The 19,078-nt window shown below is 50.6% G+C and overlaps 2 protein-coding genes across 2 annotated transcripts in view, besides 2 other annotated features; both read left to right on the forward strand.

The window, feature by feature from the left end:
- The first annotated feature begins 12,245 nt into the window (after nt 1-12,245).
- LOC124905155 (uncharacterized) lies at nt 12,246-17,609 on the forward strand. The gene is made up of 2 exons (XM_047441700.1): nt 12,246-12,274; nt 17,189-17,609. The coding sequence occupies exons 1-2, from the start codon at nt 12,246-12,248 to the stop codon at nt 17,607-17,609; spliced, it is 450 nt and encodes a 149-aa protein (XP_047297656.1).
- Nucleotides 17,510-18,143: an enhancer, noted in NCBI's record as "H3K27ac-H3K4me1 hESC enhancer chr22:40390673-40391306 (GRCh37/hg19 assembly coordinates)". NCBI's record gives its function as "activates a minimal SCP1, AML or CMV promoter by ChIP-STARR-seq in naive H9 embryonic stem cells {active_cell/tissue: H9 hESC(naive)}" and the evidence as "EXISTENCE:reporter gene assay evidence [ECO:0000049][PMID:30033119]".
- Nucleotides 17,718-17,837: a silencer, noted in NCBI's record as "silent region_13765". NCBI's record gives its function as "represses an Ori minimal core promoter by ATAC-STARR-seq in GM12878 lymphoblastoid cells {active_cell/tissue: GM12878}" and the evidence as "EXISTENCE:reporter gene assay evidence [ECO:0000049][PMID:35858748]".
- Nucleotides 17,795-19,078, forward strand: part of FAM83F (family with sequence similarity 83 member F) — a 48,581-nt gene continuing 47,297 nt past the window's right edge. Inside the window, exon 1 of the mRNA NM_138435.4 lies at nt 17,795-18,372. Coding sequence (NP_612444.2) covers nt 17,884-18,372 — 489 coding nt within the window. The 5' untranslated portion in view covers nt 17,795-17,883. The remainder of the gene's footprint in view (nt 18,373-19,078) is intronic.

Consider the following 19,078-nt stretch of genomic DNA (forward strand, 5'->3'; position numbering starts at 1 on the left):
AGCTCTGTATCTGCTCCATCCAATGTGGTAGCCACTAGCCACTAGCCACATGTGGCTATTGAATACTTGAAATATGCCTGGTATAAATGACTGAAATTGCCACATGTGGCAAAGAGCTGCCTTATAGGGCAGCGTGGGTCCAGACAACTGTTACTTACTTTGAAATCATTAGCTCAGGGCTCCAGGTCTCCACTGGGAAACCATCCCAATATTATGGTTGATGTAAGTGCCCCCGTTCCCCCACCCCCACTTATGTTCCTGTAGTAACCTTGTTCTCCCTCTATCCCAATACTCAGAACACCATTGTCAGTGATTCACTGATCTGCCTCCTCTGCTAGACCAAATCTTTTTTAGGTCAAAGATATGCAGTGCAGTCAATAAATGGTTGATGCCTAGATGCAGTGACGTGCTGGTAAAGATTTAATAATTGGCTCTCTCTAAGAAGAAGCCCTAACTTGTGGTATTTGCCAATTCTATGGTGTAAACACTCCCACCATATGCCAAGAGAATGAGAAGACAAGTCACAGACCAGGAGAAAATATGTACAGAAGACATATCTGATAAAGGACTATGATACACAAAGAACTCTTAAAACTCAACAATAGGCAGGGCACAGTGGCTCACGCCTGTAATCCCAGCACTTTGGGAGGCCGAGGCAGGTGGATCATGAGGTCAGGAGTTTGAGACCAGCCTGGCCAAGATGGTGAAATCCCGTCTCTACTAAAAATACAAAAATTAGCCGGGTTTGGTGGCGGGCACCTGTAATCCCAGCTACTTGGGAGGCTGATGCAGGAAAATTGTTTGAACCCGGGAGGTGGAGGTTGCAGTGAGCCAAGTTCCTGCCACTTCGCTCTAGCCTGGGCAACAGAGCAAGACTCCATCTCAAAAAAAGAAAGAAAGAAAGAAAGAAAGTAAGAAACAAAAAAAACCAACAACAACAACAAAAAAACTCCACAATTAGAAGATGAACAACCCAATTTAAAAATGGGCAAAAGACATGGACAGCTCATGGAAGAAGATATAGATGGCAAGTGAGGAGATAAAAAGATGCTCAATATCATATGTCATTAGGAAAATACAAATTAAAACAATGAAATATCACCACACACCTATAAGAATGCCCCATATCTATAATACTGACAACACCATATGCTGGTGATGATGTGAAACAACAGGAACTCTCATTCATTGATGGTGGGAAGGCAAAATGGTACAGCTACTTTGGAAGAGAGTTCGACGGTTTCTTGCAAAACTAAACTTACGCTGGTCATAGGATCCAGCATTCACACTCCTTGGTATTTACTGAAAGGTGCTGAAAACATCCACACAAAGACCTGGACATGGATATTTATAGTGGCTTTATTCATAATTGCCAAAACTTAGAAGAAACCAAAATGTCCTACAATAGGTGAATGAATAAATAAACTGTGGTACCTCCAGACAATAGAATAGTATTTAGAAAGAAATAAGCTACCAAGCTATGAAAGATGAAAACCCTTAAATGCATATTATTATTATTATTATTATTATTATTATTATTATTAAGATGGAGTTTCACTCTGTCACCCAGGCTGGAGTGCAGTGGTGTAATCTCAGCTCACTGCAACCTCCACCTCCCTGGTTCAAGCAAATCTCCTGCCTCTGCCTCCCAAGTAGCTGGGATTACAGGCGCCCGTCACCACGCTTGGCTGAATTTTTTTTTTTTTTTTAGTAGAGACGGGGTTTCACCATGTTGGCCAGACTGGTTTTGAACTCCTGACCTAAGGTGATCTGCCCACCTCAGCCTCCCAAAGTGATGGTATTACAGGCATGCGATGCTGCACCCAACCCTTAAATGCATATTACTATGTGAAATAAGCCAATATGAAAAGGCTACACACTGTACCGTTTCAACTACATGGCATGCTGGAAAAGGAAAAACTAGAGAGGCGGTAAAAAGATCAGTGGTTGGAAGGGTTGAGGGTGGGAGGCATGAATACGCAGAGCCCGGAGGATTTTTAGGGCAGTGAAACTCCTCTGTGTGATGCCACAACAATAGACACATGGCATGACACATTTTTCAAAACCCATAGGATGCACAACAGGAAGAGTGAACCCTAATGTAAACTACGCATTTCGGGTGATTATGGTGTGTCAATGTAGGCTCAACAATTGTAACAAATATATCACTCTGCTGGAGGATGTTGACAGTGAGGGAGGCTATGCGTGTGTGGGGACAGGGGGTATTTGGGAACTCCCTGTGTCTTCTGTTCCATTTTGCTGTGATCCTAAAACTGCTGAAAAAAAAAAGTCTACTTAAAAAAGAACAACTCCCACCATGGCAGATTTCAGGCTACCAACATGACATCACTGAATCCAGAGTTGGGAAGAGATGTACACAATTGTTTTTCATGGGCAGATAGGAGCCAGCCCCAGCACACCACCGCATGAGTGAGTGAGTGAATGAGTGAATGAATGAATGAATGAATGAATGAATGAAAGAAATGTGCCAGATGCTGGGAATACCAGGGACGCCATCAGGCTCTTTAGGGAGAAGTCTATTCAGACCTGCGAGAGCTGGGCATGCAGCTGCTAGTCGGATTTCAATTCCAACTGAGGAGATAAAGGATCAGGGAGTCCCATCTTTGATTTAGTCAGTAAATCGAAGATATGGGACATTTGTTTTCTTTGGGTGCTTTACCTTTAATACCAAGACTTGTCAAGGCATCTCTATTAAGTGGCCCACTCAGACAAGTGCAAAGTGAGTGAGCTGGAGGCGAAAAAAACAGAGGCCTGACCAAAAGGCTCTAGAGCAACAAGAGGCTCATGATTTCCCATCACAAGAAGTCCAGAGACAAGACAGCCATTGGCTGGCTTAACACAATGGCCCAACAATGCATCAGTGATGTCTCTGAGCATCAGTGGTGTCTCTTCTCAGTGGCTTACAGCTCCAGACATCACATGCAGACGTGACAATGTCTAATGGAGAAGGGGCACATTCTCTCCCAATTCTACTCAATGAGAAACCCTTTCCTTCCTGGAGGTCCTTCAGCGGCCATTCACACAGATCCCACTGGCAAGACTGGATCCCATGCTGTTCTTACACCAGCCATTTCCAAGAGAATGAGGCCACCATAACTGGCTTAGGCCAATTGGTAGGACCCTTCAGGAGGCAGAACCTGGGAACCTAGGCAGGGCTCTGCCCACAGGAAGAAGCAGGTGAGCGTGTGGGGGTGGCGGATGGTTGTCAAAACCCAATATACAGGGAACATTACAGGAAGAGTCACTTACTTTACAATCATGTCATTTCATAAACATTTCTTGACATAATTAGGGAACAAGAGGCAGCATGAAGGAGCACAGCTTCCCTGCCATTCCCCCCGCCACAGTGAGACGCCTGCAAGGACACAGACACAGCCTTTCCATCAGCCTTCCTCTGTGGATCCCCCATCCACACTGAGCCAGCAGGTCAATGGGGACAGGTTCCATGCTGTTCAGAGAAACCAGCACTGTACACAGTGGGGCCCTGCATCCACTGCAGGGGTGGACGCCTCAGCCAGCCCAGGACTGTGCCGTCATCCCTGAGACTCACTGATCCTGATGTGAGACTCTCCCCGACAGGGGCTTCCAGGCATGGCTCTATGCAGGGTCATTTGTGGCCACACTATGACGTGGGCGATCCCATTTCTACACATCTAAATTCCCCAGGGCAGGCAGCATGTGGTATCTCACTCCCTCGGCTCTAACCTGGTTATGGGAAGTTGCTAGGTAACTGCTTCCCACACTGGAGGAGGCTTAGTTACCATGGAAAGTCCAGATGGGTGGGGGGGCACAGAGGAAGGGAGCACTGGCTGGGGGGTCTGCAGCTGGGATTCTGTCCCCACTCTCTCCTGAGCCCCTGGACCTAAGGGGAGTCTCTCAACCCCTCTGGGCCTCAGTTTCCTCCTAGTAAAATGAAGGAAAGGCTGGGTCACTTCTTGCTCTAAACCACTGATGCATGTGGATGGCATACCCTCAGTGAGCACTGATCCTCAGACACCTCTTCGGCAAGGAGTGACTCAAGATGGGTGCAGAAAAGGAATGCATTAAGTTTATGTCTTAGCCTGGGCAACATAGCAAGACTCTGTCTCTACAAAAAACATTTTTTTTTTTTTTGAGACAGAGTTTCACTCTGTCACCGAGGCTGGAGTACAGTGACGTGATCTCCACTCGCTGCAACCTCCGCCTCCCGGGTTCAAGCGATTCTCATGCCTCAGCCTCCCTAGTAGCTGGGATTACAAGCATGTGCCACCACACCCAGCTAATTTTTGTATTTTTAGTAGAGACAGGTTTCACCATGTTGGCCAGGCTGGTCTCGAACTCCTGACCTCAAGTGATCTGCCTGCCTCAGCCTCCCAAAGTCCTGAGATTACAGGCATGAGCCACAGCGCCCGGCCCTCAATTTTTTTTTTTTAAATTAGCTAGGTGTGGTACATACAGGCACCTGCCTGTAGTCCCAGCTACTCCAGACGCAGAGGTAGTAGGATCACTCGAGCTCAGGAGTTTGAGACTGCAGTGAGCTATGATTGTGCCACCACACTCAGCCTGAGTGACAGAGCAAGACCCTATCTTAAAAAACAAAAACAAAACAAAACAAAACAAAAGGCCAGGCGTGGTGGCTCATGCCTGTAATCCCAGCACTTTGGGAGGCTGAGGCAGGCAGATCATGAGGTCAGGAATTTGAGACCAGCCTGACCAACACGGTGAAACCCCATCTCTACTAAAAATACAAAAATTAGCTGGGCGTGGTGGCACACGCCTGTAATCCCAACTACTCAGGAGGCTGAGGCAGGAGAATCCCTTGAACCTGGGAGGCAGAGGTTGCAGTGAACCGAGATTGCACCACTGCACTCCAGCCTGGGCGACAGACCGAGACTCTGTCTAAAAAAACAAAAACAAAAAAGTTTTTTCTTTAAAAAAATAGAGAAACTAGCAAGCTTGTGTCTCTATTAGGATAAATAAAAGCTATAGGCCAGGCGCAGTGGCTCACACCTGTAATCCCAGCACTTTGGGAGGCCGAGGCGGGTAGATCCCCTGAGGTCAGGAGTTCAAGACCAGCTTGGCCAACATGGTGAAGTCCCGTCTCTACTAAAAATGCAAAAATTGGCTGGGCATGGTGGCTCATGCCTATAATCCCAGCACTTTGGGAGGCTGAGGTAGGTGGATCACCTGAGGTCAGGAGTTTGAGACCAGCCTGGCCAACATGATGAAACCCGTCTCTACTAAAAATGTGAAAATTAGCTGGGCATGGTGGCGGGCGCCTGTAATCCCAGCTACTTGGAAGGCTGAGGCAGGAGAATCACTTGAATCCAGGAGATGGAGGTTGCAGTGAGCTGAGATCACACCATTGCACTCCAGCCTGGTCAACGAGAGTGAAACTTCATCCCAAAACAAAACAAAACAAAGCAAAAATTAGCCGGGCATGGTGGTGGGCCCCTGTAATCCCAGCTACCCTGGAGGCTGAGGTGGGAGAATTGCTTGAACCTGGGAGGTGGAGGCTGCAAGGAGTCGAGATGGCGCCACTGCACTCCAGCCTGGGCGACAGAGCAAGACCCTGTCTAAAAAAAAAAAAAAAAAAAAAAAAAAAAAAAAAAAAAAAAAAAAAAAAATTGGCCGGGCGCAGTGGCTCACACCTGTAATCCCAGTACTTTGGGAGGTCAAGGCAGGCGGATCACCTAAAGTCAGGAGTTCAAGACCAGCCTGACCAAGATGGTGAAACCCTGTCTCTACTAAAAATACAAAAATTAGCCAGGCATGGTGGGGGGCACCTGTAATCCCAACTACTTGGGAGGCTGAGACAGGAGAATTGCTTGAACCTGGGAGGTGGAGATTGCAGTGAGCCGAGATCGTGCCACTGCACTCCAGCCTGGGCAACAGAGCAAGATTGCACCTCAAAAAAAAAAAAAAAGTTATAGAGATTCTCCCTTCTGCTAGGAGAAATTTCACTTCTGACATCAATATTCACAAGTCCTGGGGCTCCCTAGGTCCTCTTCTGAACCGAGGCTTCCTAAAAAAAAAACTTAGGATGCAATGTGTGTCCCTAAAACACCCAGCTTGCTAAAGCATGATGTCCTTTCAGACAGGGTCTCCCAGTTCTTGGGCTCTGCTGGTCCTTCTGCCCCAGATGGAGCCATGGCACAGGCCCAGCCCTCTCTAGGTTGCTGGGACCCATCCTGACTCCTCCAATATGGGCCACTGCATAAGCCTCTTGGGTCTGCTATTTGTTCCTTCTTTCATTCTGAGATCCAGCCCCACCTTCTTCCCTTGCTTCTGCAATAAGATCTCTGCCCAGGCCCAGATGCTGGGACCAGTGCAGTACCCAGCTCCCCGTTCACCTGCCTTGTTCATGCCAATCCCATTCCCAGAATCCATATGACATTTCCAAGCACTAGCTGCCATCCTCCTGTCTACACGCCCGAATCTCCATGATGCAGTGGTGGCTCCCTCTCCCACCATGCATGTCACCCACTCAGCACTCTGATGACCTTGTGCCGGAGCCCCTGCTCCTGCTGGCTGCACAACACCCCCACCACCATCTGTACCCACAGTCACAGGAGGCCCCTGTAATCCCCGAAGACAGGTTGGACCCCATCCCACCCCCAGAAGCTGGTCTTTACTCCCACTTCCTTCTCGGTCTCCACCTCCAGGGTCCAGTTTTAAGTTTTGGCCACTCCTGATCCCTCCCCACCACCATACAAACATGACAAACAGGGCAATGTCTGAGTGTGGCTAAGGACGCTGCAGTCATCATATCAGGTAACATTCTCCATCCCCACTCAACAACTGAGTTTTCTCCTGGCTGGGAGCAGAAGGAGAAATTCACATCTTTTACATATAGAGTGAGCCTCTCTAGGGTGTCAGGGTCAGTGGTCTCTCAGCTAACAGCTTTGCTCTGGGGCATTCAAGAACCTTCTGGCCCTGCAGAGAAAACCCCACCCTTGAGCTGTACACCCTGTCCCTCCCCTCCTTTCTAACTATTCTCTCTTCTCTCCTCCAGGCAATGTGGAGAGGTGGAAAAGTCACAAGCTTTGAGTCAGAAACACGTGGGCTGCAGTCCAGACTCTGCTACTTACGCTATCAGCCTGGACAAGTTTCTTGACCACTCTGAGCTGATCTAGAGAACTGGGGATAATAGCACTGAGTTGTCATGAGAAGTAAACAAAATTATAGGAACTACTTGGTAAGAACCTAGCAAGTGGGAGAGACATCATGACTGCTTTCTTCATTCTTTTTATTCCTATGGCCCAGGCCAAGCAACAGGGCATGAAGAGAAGAAACTCAGCTGGGCGTGGGGGCTCACGCCTGTAATCCCAGCACTTTGAGAGGCTGAGGCGGGCAGATCATGAGGTCAAGAGATCGAGACCATCCTGGCCAATATGATGAAACCCTGTCTCTACAAAAATACAAAAATTAGCTGGGTGTGGTGGCGCACCTGTATTCCCATCTACTTGGGAGCTGGGAGAGGGAGCTCCCGCGTAGGGAGAATCACTTGATCACTGAGGCAGGAGAATCACTTGAACCTGAAAGGCGGAGGTTGCAGTGAGCCGAGATCGCCCCACTGTATTCCAGCCTGGGCAACAGAGTGAGACTCCATCTCAGAAAAAAAAAAAAAAAAAAAAAAGAGAAGAAACTTGGTCCATTCCTAAGGTTCCTGGCCCTCCCAGGAGTCTTGCCCAGCCTCTACCTCACCCATAACTACTTTCCATTTTTGGCAGAAACAGCCTCTTCTTCACCCCTCCCTGCCCCACCCCAGTGGGACTTGTTGCTGCAACAGCCTCCTTCCCTTTGAAACTTGCCTGTCCTGTGTTCCGCCCTCCCCGGGGTAATCTCTCTGCACCCATCAAACTGATAACTTGCCAACACAGCACATCAACTTTGGGAGAGCTCCCCTCCCTCACCTCACCCACCCTCCTCCAGGGTACACCTGTCCTGTGATGGCCACCTGCAAGGGACAGAGTGCTGAGGGTGTTGGCCAAGTAAAGGAATAATTTTTGAAGGGAGAATGCCAGGTTAGGCAGGGGTGTCAGAGGCATCCCGGGTCACTTCCTCTGGTGGCTCTCCACTGCTTTGCAAGGCATCCCACCCAGATCAGTCACTGGCTTTACTAGAATGCCCTTCCCCTGCCACCCCCAGCTTGGGGTTCAAGCTGCCTCTTGGAGGTGGGGCTGCATGGAGGCAAGACATCTGGGCCACCCTCAACCCCTGCACCTTGCCCTGCACCTGCCCTCGACCCCTGCACCTTTCTCCTTCTTCGGTAACTGTGCTCACATAGGTCCCTCCACCTCCACCTAGGGGCCTCCTTCCTTTCTATTTACCTCTGTTCACATCCTAGCCAGCCTTCAAGGCCAGGGAAAAGGCCACCCCCTTCACAAAGTCATCTTTGATTCCACCCTCAGCCTAGAGCAAGCAGCCTTGCTGAACCTTCTTCTGACGGGTGCTCTCTCTGCCAGCCTTGCCCTAAAAGGGTGAGTGCACTCAGGTCCTGTGCCCTGGAATGTCCAGGTTCCAGGCCCCAAGGACAAGGCTGAACTAACACTAAGGAAATAATTCTAGCCCAGGCCTCTTGGTTGGGGTCAGAGCTGCTTTAAACTTTGCCTAAAAATGTTTCTGGTGCTGCCAGCCATAAAGCGGGGAGGCACTCCCTTGAGTCAGGTGTGTCTGACTCAAAAGCACTCCGCCTCTGTCATGTGGGTGAAGTTGTTCACCCAAGCAGCCCTGCGCTGCCTGCACAGCCTGCCAGGAACCTCTGCTCCAAGACTCTCTGTTCCTGTGTGGCTACCTAGAGAAAGCAAGAAAAGACCCCATGCCTCCCCGAGGCTTCCTTTCTGAAACTTCCCTAGTCTCAGAACCTGAGCAGCCCTCTTTCTGTAATGCTAAATGTCACTGGAGCCCACCGCGGGCTCTCCCTACCTCGGGTCCAGCCCATGCTCTTGGTCAGGTGCATCCATCTCAAGCATCATTTTTATCCTGCCATTCCCCAGTTTCCCAGCCTTCCATGGCTCCCAGCTGAAAACAAAATGCAAACTCAGCCTGGAATTCACGCACTCAAGAGCATCTGTGAGACAACTTGTATTTCTGGCTCCTTGTCATTTTCCCATCCCTGAAATACACATATATGTACATATTTACACACTGGTACACACATACACATACATGTACTTACATACACACATGTACACACACACACACACACACACACACACACACACACACACACACACACACCATGACCTAAACGAGTCAGTTGGTTTAGTCTGCATTTACCTTAAGCACTACATTTACTCAGTCACTCACTCACTCTTCATCCACTCAACTCTCTCAGTACCAGGTCTGTTCTAGAGCTGGAACATAACTTTCCTGCTTCCCTACCATCAGCTACTACCTAGAATATCCTCCCCTGTCCCTTCAAGCACTTTGGGAGGCCAAGGTAGGTGGATCACCTGAGGTCAGGAGTTCGATACCAGCCTGACCAATATGGTGAAACCCCATCTCTACTAAAAGTGCAAAAAATAGCCAGGCGTGGTGGCAGGTGCCTATAATCCCAGCTACTCAGGAGGCTGAAACAGGAGAATCACTTAAACCTGGGGGATGGAGGTTGCAGTGAGCCGAGATCATGCCACTTTACTCCAGTCTGCGTGAAAGAGCGAAACTCTGTCTCAAAAAAAAAAAAAAAAAAAAAAAAAAGCATTAAAGACCAGAGGGTAGAACTCAAGCTAATCTGCCACGGTCATCTCTCCAGTGACCAGCTCTTGCTCTGGATCAATGCACATCAGGAACACACCGTGGGGTAGTTCTAACAAACAACCCCTGTGCGGAGAGTCTTCAGGCGGGGAGAAGCGCCAAACCCTTAGGCCTCTTCCTAGGCAGCCTTTGGATTAAACCCTCTCTCTTCCTGATGCTGGTCCTCCATCCGCACTGGCTGGAGAAAAGGCCTCCTTTGGACTATGCCTCCCGGGAGGACATGGATGCCGAAATCCTTCTTCATCTTTAAAGATAATCAAAAATGTCTACCAGAGCCAGGCATGGTGACTGAAGCCTGTAATCCCAGCTACTTGGGAGGCTTAGGTGAGATCACTTGAGGCCAAGAGTTCAAGGTTGCAGTGAGCTATGATTGTGTCACTGCACTCTAGCCTGGGCAACAGAGCGAAATCCTGTCTCTAAAAAGAAAAAAAGGTCCACTGTGTACACCCTACCACACATATGCATTCTCTCTCTCTCTGTGTCACACACACACACACACACACACACACACACACATACACAGTCACACTGGGCAACAGAATGGCTGAAAAGACTCATGTTCAATTAAGTTGTCTTTGGCATTTGGGTTCTTATTTCTATGTTCCTATGGTATTTACGGCAGGGGAAGAGAGGAAACCCTACTAAGTTTTGAGAAAGAATTCCCAATCCGTTTGCAGTAAAGAGGGTGAGGGGGCCGGACGCGGTGGCTCAGGCCTGTAATCCCAGCACTTTGAGAGGCCAAGGTGGGCGAATCACGAGGTCAAGAGATTGAGACCATCCTGGACAACATGGTGAAACCCCGTCTCTACTGAAAATACAAAAATTAGCCGGGCTTGGTGGTGGGCGCCTGTAATCCCAGCAACTCGGGAGGCTGAGGCAGGAGAATCGCTTGAACCCAGCAGGCGAAGATCCGAGAAGTGAGCCAAGATCACGCCACTGCACTTCAGCCTGGCGACAGAGCAAGACTCCGTCTTAAAAAAAAAAGGCGGGTGCAGTGGCTCACGCCTGTAATCCCAGCACTTTGGGAGGCTGAGGTGGGCAGATCACCTGAGGTCAGGAGTTTGAGACCAGCCTGACCAATATGATGAAACCCCATCTCTTCTAAAAATACAAAAATTAGCCTGGCGTGGTGGCATGCCTGTAATCCCAGCTACTCAAGAGGCTGAGGCAGGAGACTCGCTTGAACCTGGGAGGCAAAGGTTGCAGTGAGCTGAGATGGTGCCACTGCACTCCAGCCTGGGGGACAAGAGAGAAACTCTGTCTCAAAAAAAAAAAAAAAAAAAAGCGGGTGACCTCGGGTGAAAGCCCAGGGGTTAGGGCCTAAGGCCTGGGAACACCCTGATGAATGTGACAGTCCTGCCATCAAGGAACTCACAACTGCTGGGGGAGACAGACCATGAGAACACAGAGCCTGGATGCTCAGACAGGTCTAGCGGGAAGCAAGGAAAGTCCCTGCACCCGGACTTAGAGGCCCAGGAGAGACTCTACAGAGGGAGTGACCACCAGGCTAAAGACAAGAGGAGCCAGAAGAGTCTCCCGTGGGCTGGGGAGAAACACGTGGTAGCAGCAGAAGCTTGGGGAGGGGAAGAAAAGTAGGTCTGAATCCTAAAAGGCCTCGAGGCGCTTGGGCTGTAGCCTGCAGGGATAGGGACCCTTGGCAGGGTTTTGTGCAGGGAAAGGACATAATGGTGTTTACCTTTTAGAAGAGATCTAAGGGGAGAATCCGGTTAGGGAGCCCAGTTAGGAGGCTCTTGCAAGGCTCTTGCAAGGATGTCCAGGAAGGGAGGAGTGGGGAGTGGCAGCAGGGAAGGAGGGAGGGGCAGTGACGGAACCACACCACGTCACCCCACATCACATCACACCCTAGCCCAGAGAAAGCCTCTTCTGGTCTGGTGGCCTAAGGGAAAGGAAAGAGTCAAAATGAGCCCCTGTTTCCCATGCTGGTGAGATGGAGGCTGGCTAGTGGAGGGCTGGGTCGTTTTGGACATGGTAAACCCAGGAGGAGGGGCATGCCTGGGGGGCATAGGAGAAGGGGCTGACAGGTGCCATTTGGGACAAGTTGTGTTGGAGGTGCCTGGGGGATGTGTGACTGGAGATGACCAGCAGGCAGCCTGATGAACTGGCATGGATTGAGGAGAGGGTTCTGGAGTTGAGCTAGAGTCATCCAAGCACAGGGAAGCGAGGTTGCCCACGGATGGGCGAGATGTGAAAGGCGGGAAGGTCAGGGCAGGGTCCCGAGGAACAGCGCGTTTCAGAGATGGATGAAGGAGAATGAGAAGGAGTGGCAGGGAGGCAAACAAACAAACAAAAAACAGGAATCACCAATTCAGAGAAAACAGTGCAATGGCAGAGTCTTCAGGGGACTGGGAGCCTCTGTACCTCCAAGGCTGGAGAAGCAGCAAAGCCCCTGAGTCTGGAAGGTCTGTGGGGGCAGGAACTTGCCTGGTACATAATTAGTGCTCCATAAACAGTCATTTAATGAACAGATGAAAGCCGTAGGTGAGTTCCGACACAGGTGAGAGACCTCGGTGTATGCGTATTGTGGAGCAGTCGAGTGGATCAGACGGGAAGGTTGCTTAAGTCGTTCAGTCCTAGGATCTCTGCCTCTCCTCCCAGTGGGCCTGGGGGAACCCCTTCCCCTTATTCTCTCTCTCACCCTCTCTGGCCAACCAAGAATTTTACAGAGGCATGAGAGAGAGAGCCCCTGAAGTTTTGTAGAGATGCTCATGACACAGATTGCTACAGAGGAAAAAAGTCACCCCTGGAAAACTCATCTAAGAATATATCATGAAGTGGGCTATTTTGGGACTCAAATTACACAAGAGGGCCTGGGAAGTGTGCAGGGATGAACACAGCTACAATTAATATTAACTAGAAGGTGTCATGTCTTTATCTTGTGAACACACAGCCCTCAGTGCCTGGCGGGTGGGCGAGAGGAAGGTGAATCCCTCCCGCCATGTACCCAGGCAGGAGTTGGGTGGTTTTGGGGGAGGGTGTCTGCCGGAGGAAGGAGGAGGGAGCCAGGCAGGGTTGCGGGGAATTGCTGGAGGAGGCGCCAGTTCTCAGGAAGCCTGAAGTCACCTTGGGCAAGGTGGCCTCCGAAGTTGGAAATGTAACTACGATCGGGCCTCACCTAGTTCAGGGAAAGTCCAGACTCAGGACCAGAGAGACCGGGAGAGGACCAGGGGCTTTCCTAGGGTGTCATGGCCTCATGGAGTGTCCCTGGAAAAGAAGTTACTTAGCTTAATCTATAGGGCCTGTGCCTGAAAGAAATCAGTTTCCACTCTCTAAAAAGAGATTTTTTTAAAAAAAATCTCAATCACGGCCGGAAACGGTGGGTCAGGCCTGTAATCCAGCACTTTAGGAGGCCGAGGCAGGCGGACCACCTGAGGTCAAGAGTTCGAGACTAGCCTGGCCAACATAGTGAAACCCTGTCTCTACTAAAAATACAAAAATTAGCTAGGCATGGTGGTGCATGCCTATAGTCCCAGCTACTCGGGAGGCTACGGCAGGAGAATTGCTTGAACTAGGGAGGCGGAGGTTGCAGTGAGCCGAGATTGCACCACTGCACTCCAGCCTGGGCCACAAAAGTGAAACTCTGTCTCAAAAAAAAAAAAAAATCTCAATCACATTGCACAGAGTATTTTGCTGGGCCGGAGGGTGGAAGGCCTGGGGATCAGGCTATGTGGAAATGCATCCCAGTATTTCCAGTCGCCAGTGGATCATCTTGAACTGGATGTCTCCCCTCCAGAAGCCTCAGCTTATTCATCTGTGACACCTCACAATAATCCGTTTCACGGAGTACTTCAACAGATTTGGGGAAAGGGGGATGGGTCAAATTAGATAAGTGTACATTAAAAGGCCTCCATAGCCTGCAACCTCTCTGTGAGTGGCATGGTATCACTTATCAACCTGCCTTGTAAAGACTGCTGTGAGAATTTGACTCCCAGCTAAACTAAGAGAGTCACCAGGGCAGCCAGCTATCATGTCTGATTCCTCTGTGTTATTCTCAGAGGCAAGCGTGTTATCTATCTGTGTTATTATCAGAGTCAAGTGTGTTATCTAGTACTGCTTATCTATTAACTGCCTCCAACTGTTGGTTGAATAAGTAAGTCATTGGTACATAAAGGTGAATATCACAAAACAAGCACAATATTTCATATTAGTTAGATCTAGGAAAGACCTTTTCCAATGTGAACTGTTACTAAAATATTCTGTTCTGCTTCTAACCTTCTGTCCAACTGCAAATCACATCACATAATATTTGTGGTCTTTGAGAGCAAAAACCATGCCTTAATCATTCTGTTTCAATGTGAGCTCCGGGTGGGCAAGGACTTGGTTTTGCTCAGAGCCTGCACTTGGAAACGGGCCTTGCGCTTGGTAAGACTCCATGAGTATTTGGTAAATAAACAAATGGTTTCTAACCCTTAACACAGAGCTACGCATTCAGCAAATGTTGGTTGGATTAATTATTAAACAAGGGGGATACTTTTTCTTTCTAATATCTCTTTCTAACATTCCCGACTGAGGCGGCGTAGCAGAATGGTTAGGTAGGCGGGCTCTGGAATCAGATGGTCTGGGTTTGAATTCTGCCTATTCTACTTACTGGCTGGGTGACCTAGAGTAGCTACTGAACCTCTCTGTGCTTCAGGTTTCTCACTTGTGAAATGAGGATAACATTTTTTCTCCTTTTTTTTTCTGTTGCCCAGACTGGAGTGCAATGGTGCAATCATAGCTCACTGCAGCCTCAAAGTCCTGGGCTCAAGTGATCCTCCTACCTTGGCCTCCGTAAGCACTGGGATTACAGGTGTGAGCCACTCAGCTCAGCTAACAATTTTTCTAATAGGATTACAGGGTTCATTTAAAGTGTACATAAAATAATTAGCACATAGTAATTGCTACTTTTTTGTGACCATATCAGTCTCAACAACCTTCACTGACTGCCCTTTAACCACTGGATAGACCTAAAGTCGAATTATCCATAATTTGGCCCCATATCCCCCTCTTTCCAGTCCCATCTTCCCATACTTTAACACTAGCTGCCCTTTACTGGCTGCTACCTGTGCCAGACATTCTTCTAAGTGGTCTATATCCATTAACTTGTTTCCCTTCTCAAATAACCTAGTAAGGTTGGACTTCATTTTTAAGAGACAGGGTCTCACTATGTTGCCCAGGCTGAACTCAAACTCCTGGGCTTAAGGGATCCTCTTGCCTCAGCCTCCCATGTAGCCAGGACTACTGGCCCATCACTGCGCCCAGCTGAGGTGGGACTTATTGCCCATATTTCACTGATGACAAGACAAAGGCCCAGAAAATAAAAATAACTTTCCTGGGGACACACAGCTAATATTAGGAAAGCTGGATTCATTCCCAGGACTCTGTGATATGAAAGTTCATGCTGTTATTTACCATCTCTGATATCCTTGCCATGCAAAGTTTGGTCAGTGGACCAGCACTCCTAGCATTACCTGGGGGCTTGCTAGAAATGCAGAGTCTCGGGCCTCACCCCAGACCTACTGAATCAGAATCTACATTTTAACAAGCCCCCTGGCTGCACAGGAAAATTTTGGAAGCACTATTGTAAACCACTTTCTACCAGGGATACACGAGTACTAATTAAGTCAAAGAAGTGTTCTCGTTTAATCCCTACACCAACGTGGGAGGTCAGGAGAGTTAAGCATTATTATCCCATTTTGCAGATGAGGAGACTAAGGCTCTGAAAGGCATCTTGAAGTGACTGAGTCCACATAAGCCTGATGCCAGCATAATGTTCTGACTAAACTCAGTTTTAAGTCCCTCCACCTATAATGTCTTCATTCCCTCTCTCCACCTTGAATTCTTCTCCTCCTTTTAGGCTCCACTTGAAATCCCTTCTTGCTGGACAAAGCCCTTCTTACCCAGTTCCCACTGGGCAGATTGCTCCTTCCTTCATATTCCCATAAGCTCCCTCCACATACCTTTCTCTTGGCTCAAATTCTTTAAGAAATGTACACTGGGTGCAAACTGTGTACCAGGCACATGGTAGGCATTGAGTAAATGTTTGTTGAGCCCATTTGCTCCCAAAGCATTTCTGACTGTGTTTATTAAAACACTATTGGGCCATGCCTGTAATCCCAGCACTTTGGGAGGCCAAGGTGAGTGGATCACAAGGTCAAGAGTTCAAGACCAGCCTGGCCAAATGGTGAAACCCTAACTCTACTAAAAATACAAAAATTAGCCGGGCACGGTGGCAGGTGCCTGTAACCCCAGCTACTCGGAGGCTGAGGCAGGAGAATCGCTTGAACCCAGGGGGCAGAGGTTGCAGTGAGCCAAGATTGCACCACGGCACTGTAACCTGGTCGACAGAGTGAGACTCCGTCTCAAACAAAACAAAGTAAAACAAAACAAAATAAACAAAAAAAGCCCAAAGAAACCACTCTCATTACTCCTATCCTCTTCTGTGTTTGTCTGTCTCTCCCACTGCCCTGAGCTCCTGTGTGTCTCCAGACTATTGAGTCTGGCATCTTGTAGGGCGTCAAGTCGTAATAAACTAAGTGCTCTCCCATCTAAGGACACAATCTGTCTATATGTACTTAAGAGTGGAGCATTACCAGGAGTGAAGCTTTCCAGTTCCCAAGAGGGGTAAAGGACAAGTGAGGTGATGGACACCTTGCTGCTCACCACTCCCAATCTTTGGGCTGACACAGGATGCCAGAACTGATTATTGTAAAAAAAAAAATAATAATAACAATAATGTGCAGACATTTGAAAATCTAACTCTCATTTTTTCCAGAGCATGAAAGGAAGGCCTAGAAATGGTAAGTGACCTTTTCAAATCCCCTGGGGTGAAAACCAGGTCCCCAATAACCTGTCGTTTCACAAGAAAAGGAGAAAGGGTAAAGGCGGCCGTGATGTCAGCGAAAGACCTCCAAGACAGAAAACCTTGCAGTCCCCGTGCTCTGCCTCTTTCACGGGAGACCTGGGCAACGCACACGTTGCTAGGCCTCAATTTCTTCAACTGTAAAATGAGGGGGTTGGAGGAGCTTGAAAAGCTCCTTCCAGCTCTGAGATGCTGCGCTATAAAGTGAGAGAAATGTGAACCTTTAGTTGTTATGATCTGAAAATATTTTGAATGTGGAGAATCAAATTGTAGAGCAGTGCATGAACAACATAATATGTTAATGACTAAGACGATTGTATTTAATCCGATGGGAAACAGCAGAGCTGCTGCCACCGCTGCTGTGTGTGTGCGTGTGTGTGGTGTGCACGCACGTGCGGTTTCCTTCCTTGAGCTCAAACATACATTTTGAATCACTAATATAGTAATCATGTCTCTGGCAGCCTATCTTGCCCAAACACACACGGAGAGACACCACACACCCTACTTCAAATTAAGGTGGGGGCGGGGGGAATTCCACTGCTGCTCTTTACATCATTTCTGTTTGGATAGCTATTTTTTAAAAGAAAGTTTTACAGTGAAGGTGTTGGACTCCCAGCCCAGAAGGGCTCTGATCTCAGAACTGGGACGCAAGGGTGGGGAGCTCGAGCTCTCATTAGCATTTCGCTTTTGCACACCCCCTGCCCGCTCCTCAGCCGTCACAATCCCGTCCTGCAGCAGGCCCCCCCACCAACACCGGACCCTCGACGGGGAAGGGGTCAGCTCGGCGGCCCCAGAGGCCACTGGGCCAGAACACGTGCTCCGGACTCCACGTGCGCGGAAAATGAACTCGTACCCGCGACGCGGCCGGCGGGGGCGGATGGCAGCGAGGGCCGGACAGCGAACCTTTACCCCGCGGAGGAGTCGGGGCCGGAGCCCGCACGTGGGTCTGCGACGGCCCCGCCCCCTGGGGGCGTCCCCTCAGGGACTCTAGCCCCGGCTGGTGGGCCCTGCAGGCCCGGGCCCGACCGCGTCCGCCAGGCCGCCCGGAGGTCCCGGCGAGCCCGGCGGAGGCGGCGGCCCCTCCCCGCCCGACGGCCACGCCCGCGCGGATTGGCCGCTCCCCGACGGCGGGGCGGGGCGGGACGGGCCGGGGCAGAGCTCGCGGCCAGGTGAGGCGCCCCGCCCCTCGGCGGCTCCAGGTGCGGCTGTGGGACCTCGGACCGCGGCGGGGCCGGGGCCAGGGCCGGGGCCGGGGCCGGGGCGCCATGGCCGAGTCCCAGCTGAACTGCCTGGACGAGGCGCACGTGAACGAGAAGGTGACCGAGGCGCAGGCCGCCTTCTACTACTGCGAGCGGCGGCGGGCCGCGCTGGAGGCGCTGCTGGGCGGCGGCGAGCAGGCCTACCGCGAGCGGCTCAAGGAGGAGCAGCTGCGGGACTTCCTCTCCAGCCCGGAGCGCCAGGCCCTGCGGGCCGCCTGGAGCCCCTACGAGGACGCCGTCCCCGCCGCCAACGCCCGGGGCAAGAGCAAGGCCAAGGCCAAGGCCCCCGCGCCGGCGCCGGCTGAGTCCGGCGAGTCCCTGGCCTACTGGCCCGACCGTTCCGACACCGAGGTGCCTCCTCTGGACCTGGGCTGGACGGACACTGGTTTCTACCGCGGCGTGAGCCGGGTCACGCTCTTCACCCACCCGCCCAAGGACGAGAAGGCGCCGCACCTCAAGCAGGTGGTCAGGCAGATGATCCAACAGGCCCAGAAGGTAGGCCCCCGCCTTCGCCCCCACACCGCTGGGACCTCGGCCCCAGTCCCCTGGACCGGGCCCCACCTCCCAGGCAGGGCCCGGGGCAGGCCGCCCTGAGCACCCTCTGGAAAATGGGCCCCAACCCGCCCCTACTTCCTGGGGCTGCAGTGAGGCCTGTAGAGCGAATGGCTGGGAACGTGTTTGGCAAATTACAAGGTGCTGGACAGATGTCAGCCGTCGGTATTCCAGCGTTCAGAGGCACTGGCTCTGCTCTGTACTTCTGAAACTTCCCTGTCCAGCCTTCCTCCCCAGGGAAGACTGGGGGCCGAGGCCCTGTGGTTAAAATGCACCACTCAAAGGTCTTGATGATAACCTACGTGCTGCCCAGAACATATCCCGAGCCGCTTTCTCATGTGATCGTCAAAACAACTTCAGGGAGTGGGTGGCGGTGACCTTCCCGGTCCCACCTCTGCCATGCTGCTCCTTGGACCACCCCTCTCCTCCCATAGTCAAAGCTGAGCTGGCGCCCTCACAGTCACAGCCTCTCCTGGGCCGGGTACTAGGCCCCAGCTGCCTGGAATGAATGGGGGACGGGGTATATTGAGGACCTACTGTGTGCCTGGCCCTGTGCTGGGCGCCTTGGCACAGCAGGTCACCTGACTCGGCAGCTCAGGAAAGGGCTCCTACTTAGCATATGTGTCCTGCTTGAGAGTTGGAAGGAGGG

The sequence above is a fragment of the Homo sapiens genome, chromosome 22, assembly GCF_000001405.40.
Source record: "Homo sapiens chromosome 22, GRCh38.p14 Primary Assembly".
Lineage (NCBI taxonomy): Eukaryota > Metazoa > Chordata > Mammalia > Primates > Hominidae > Homo > Homo sapiens.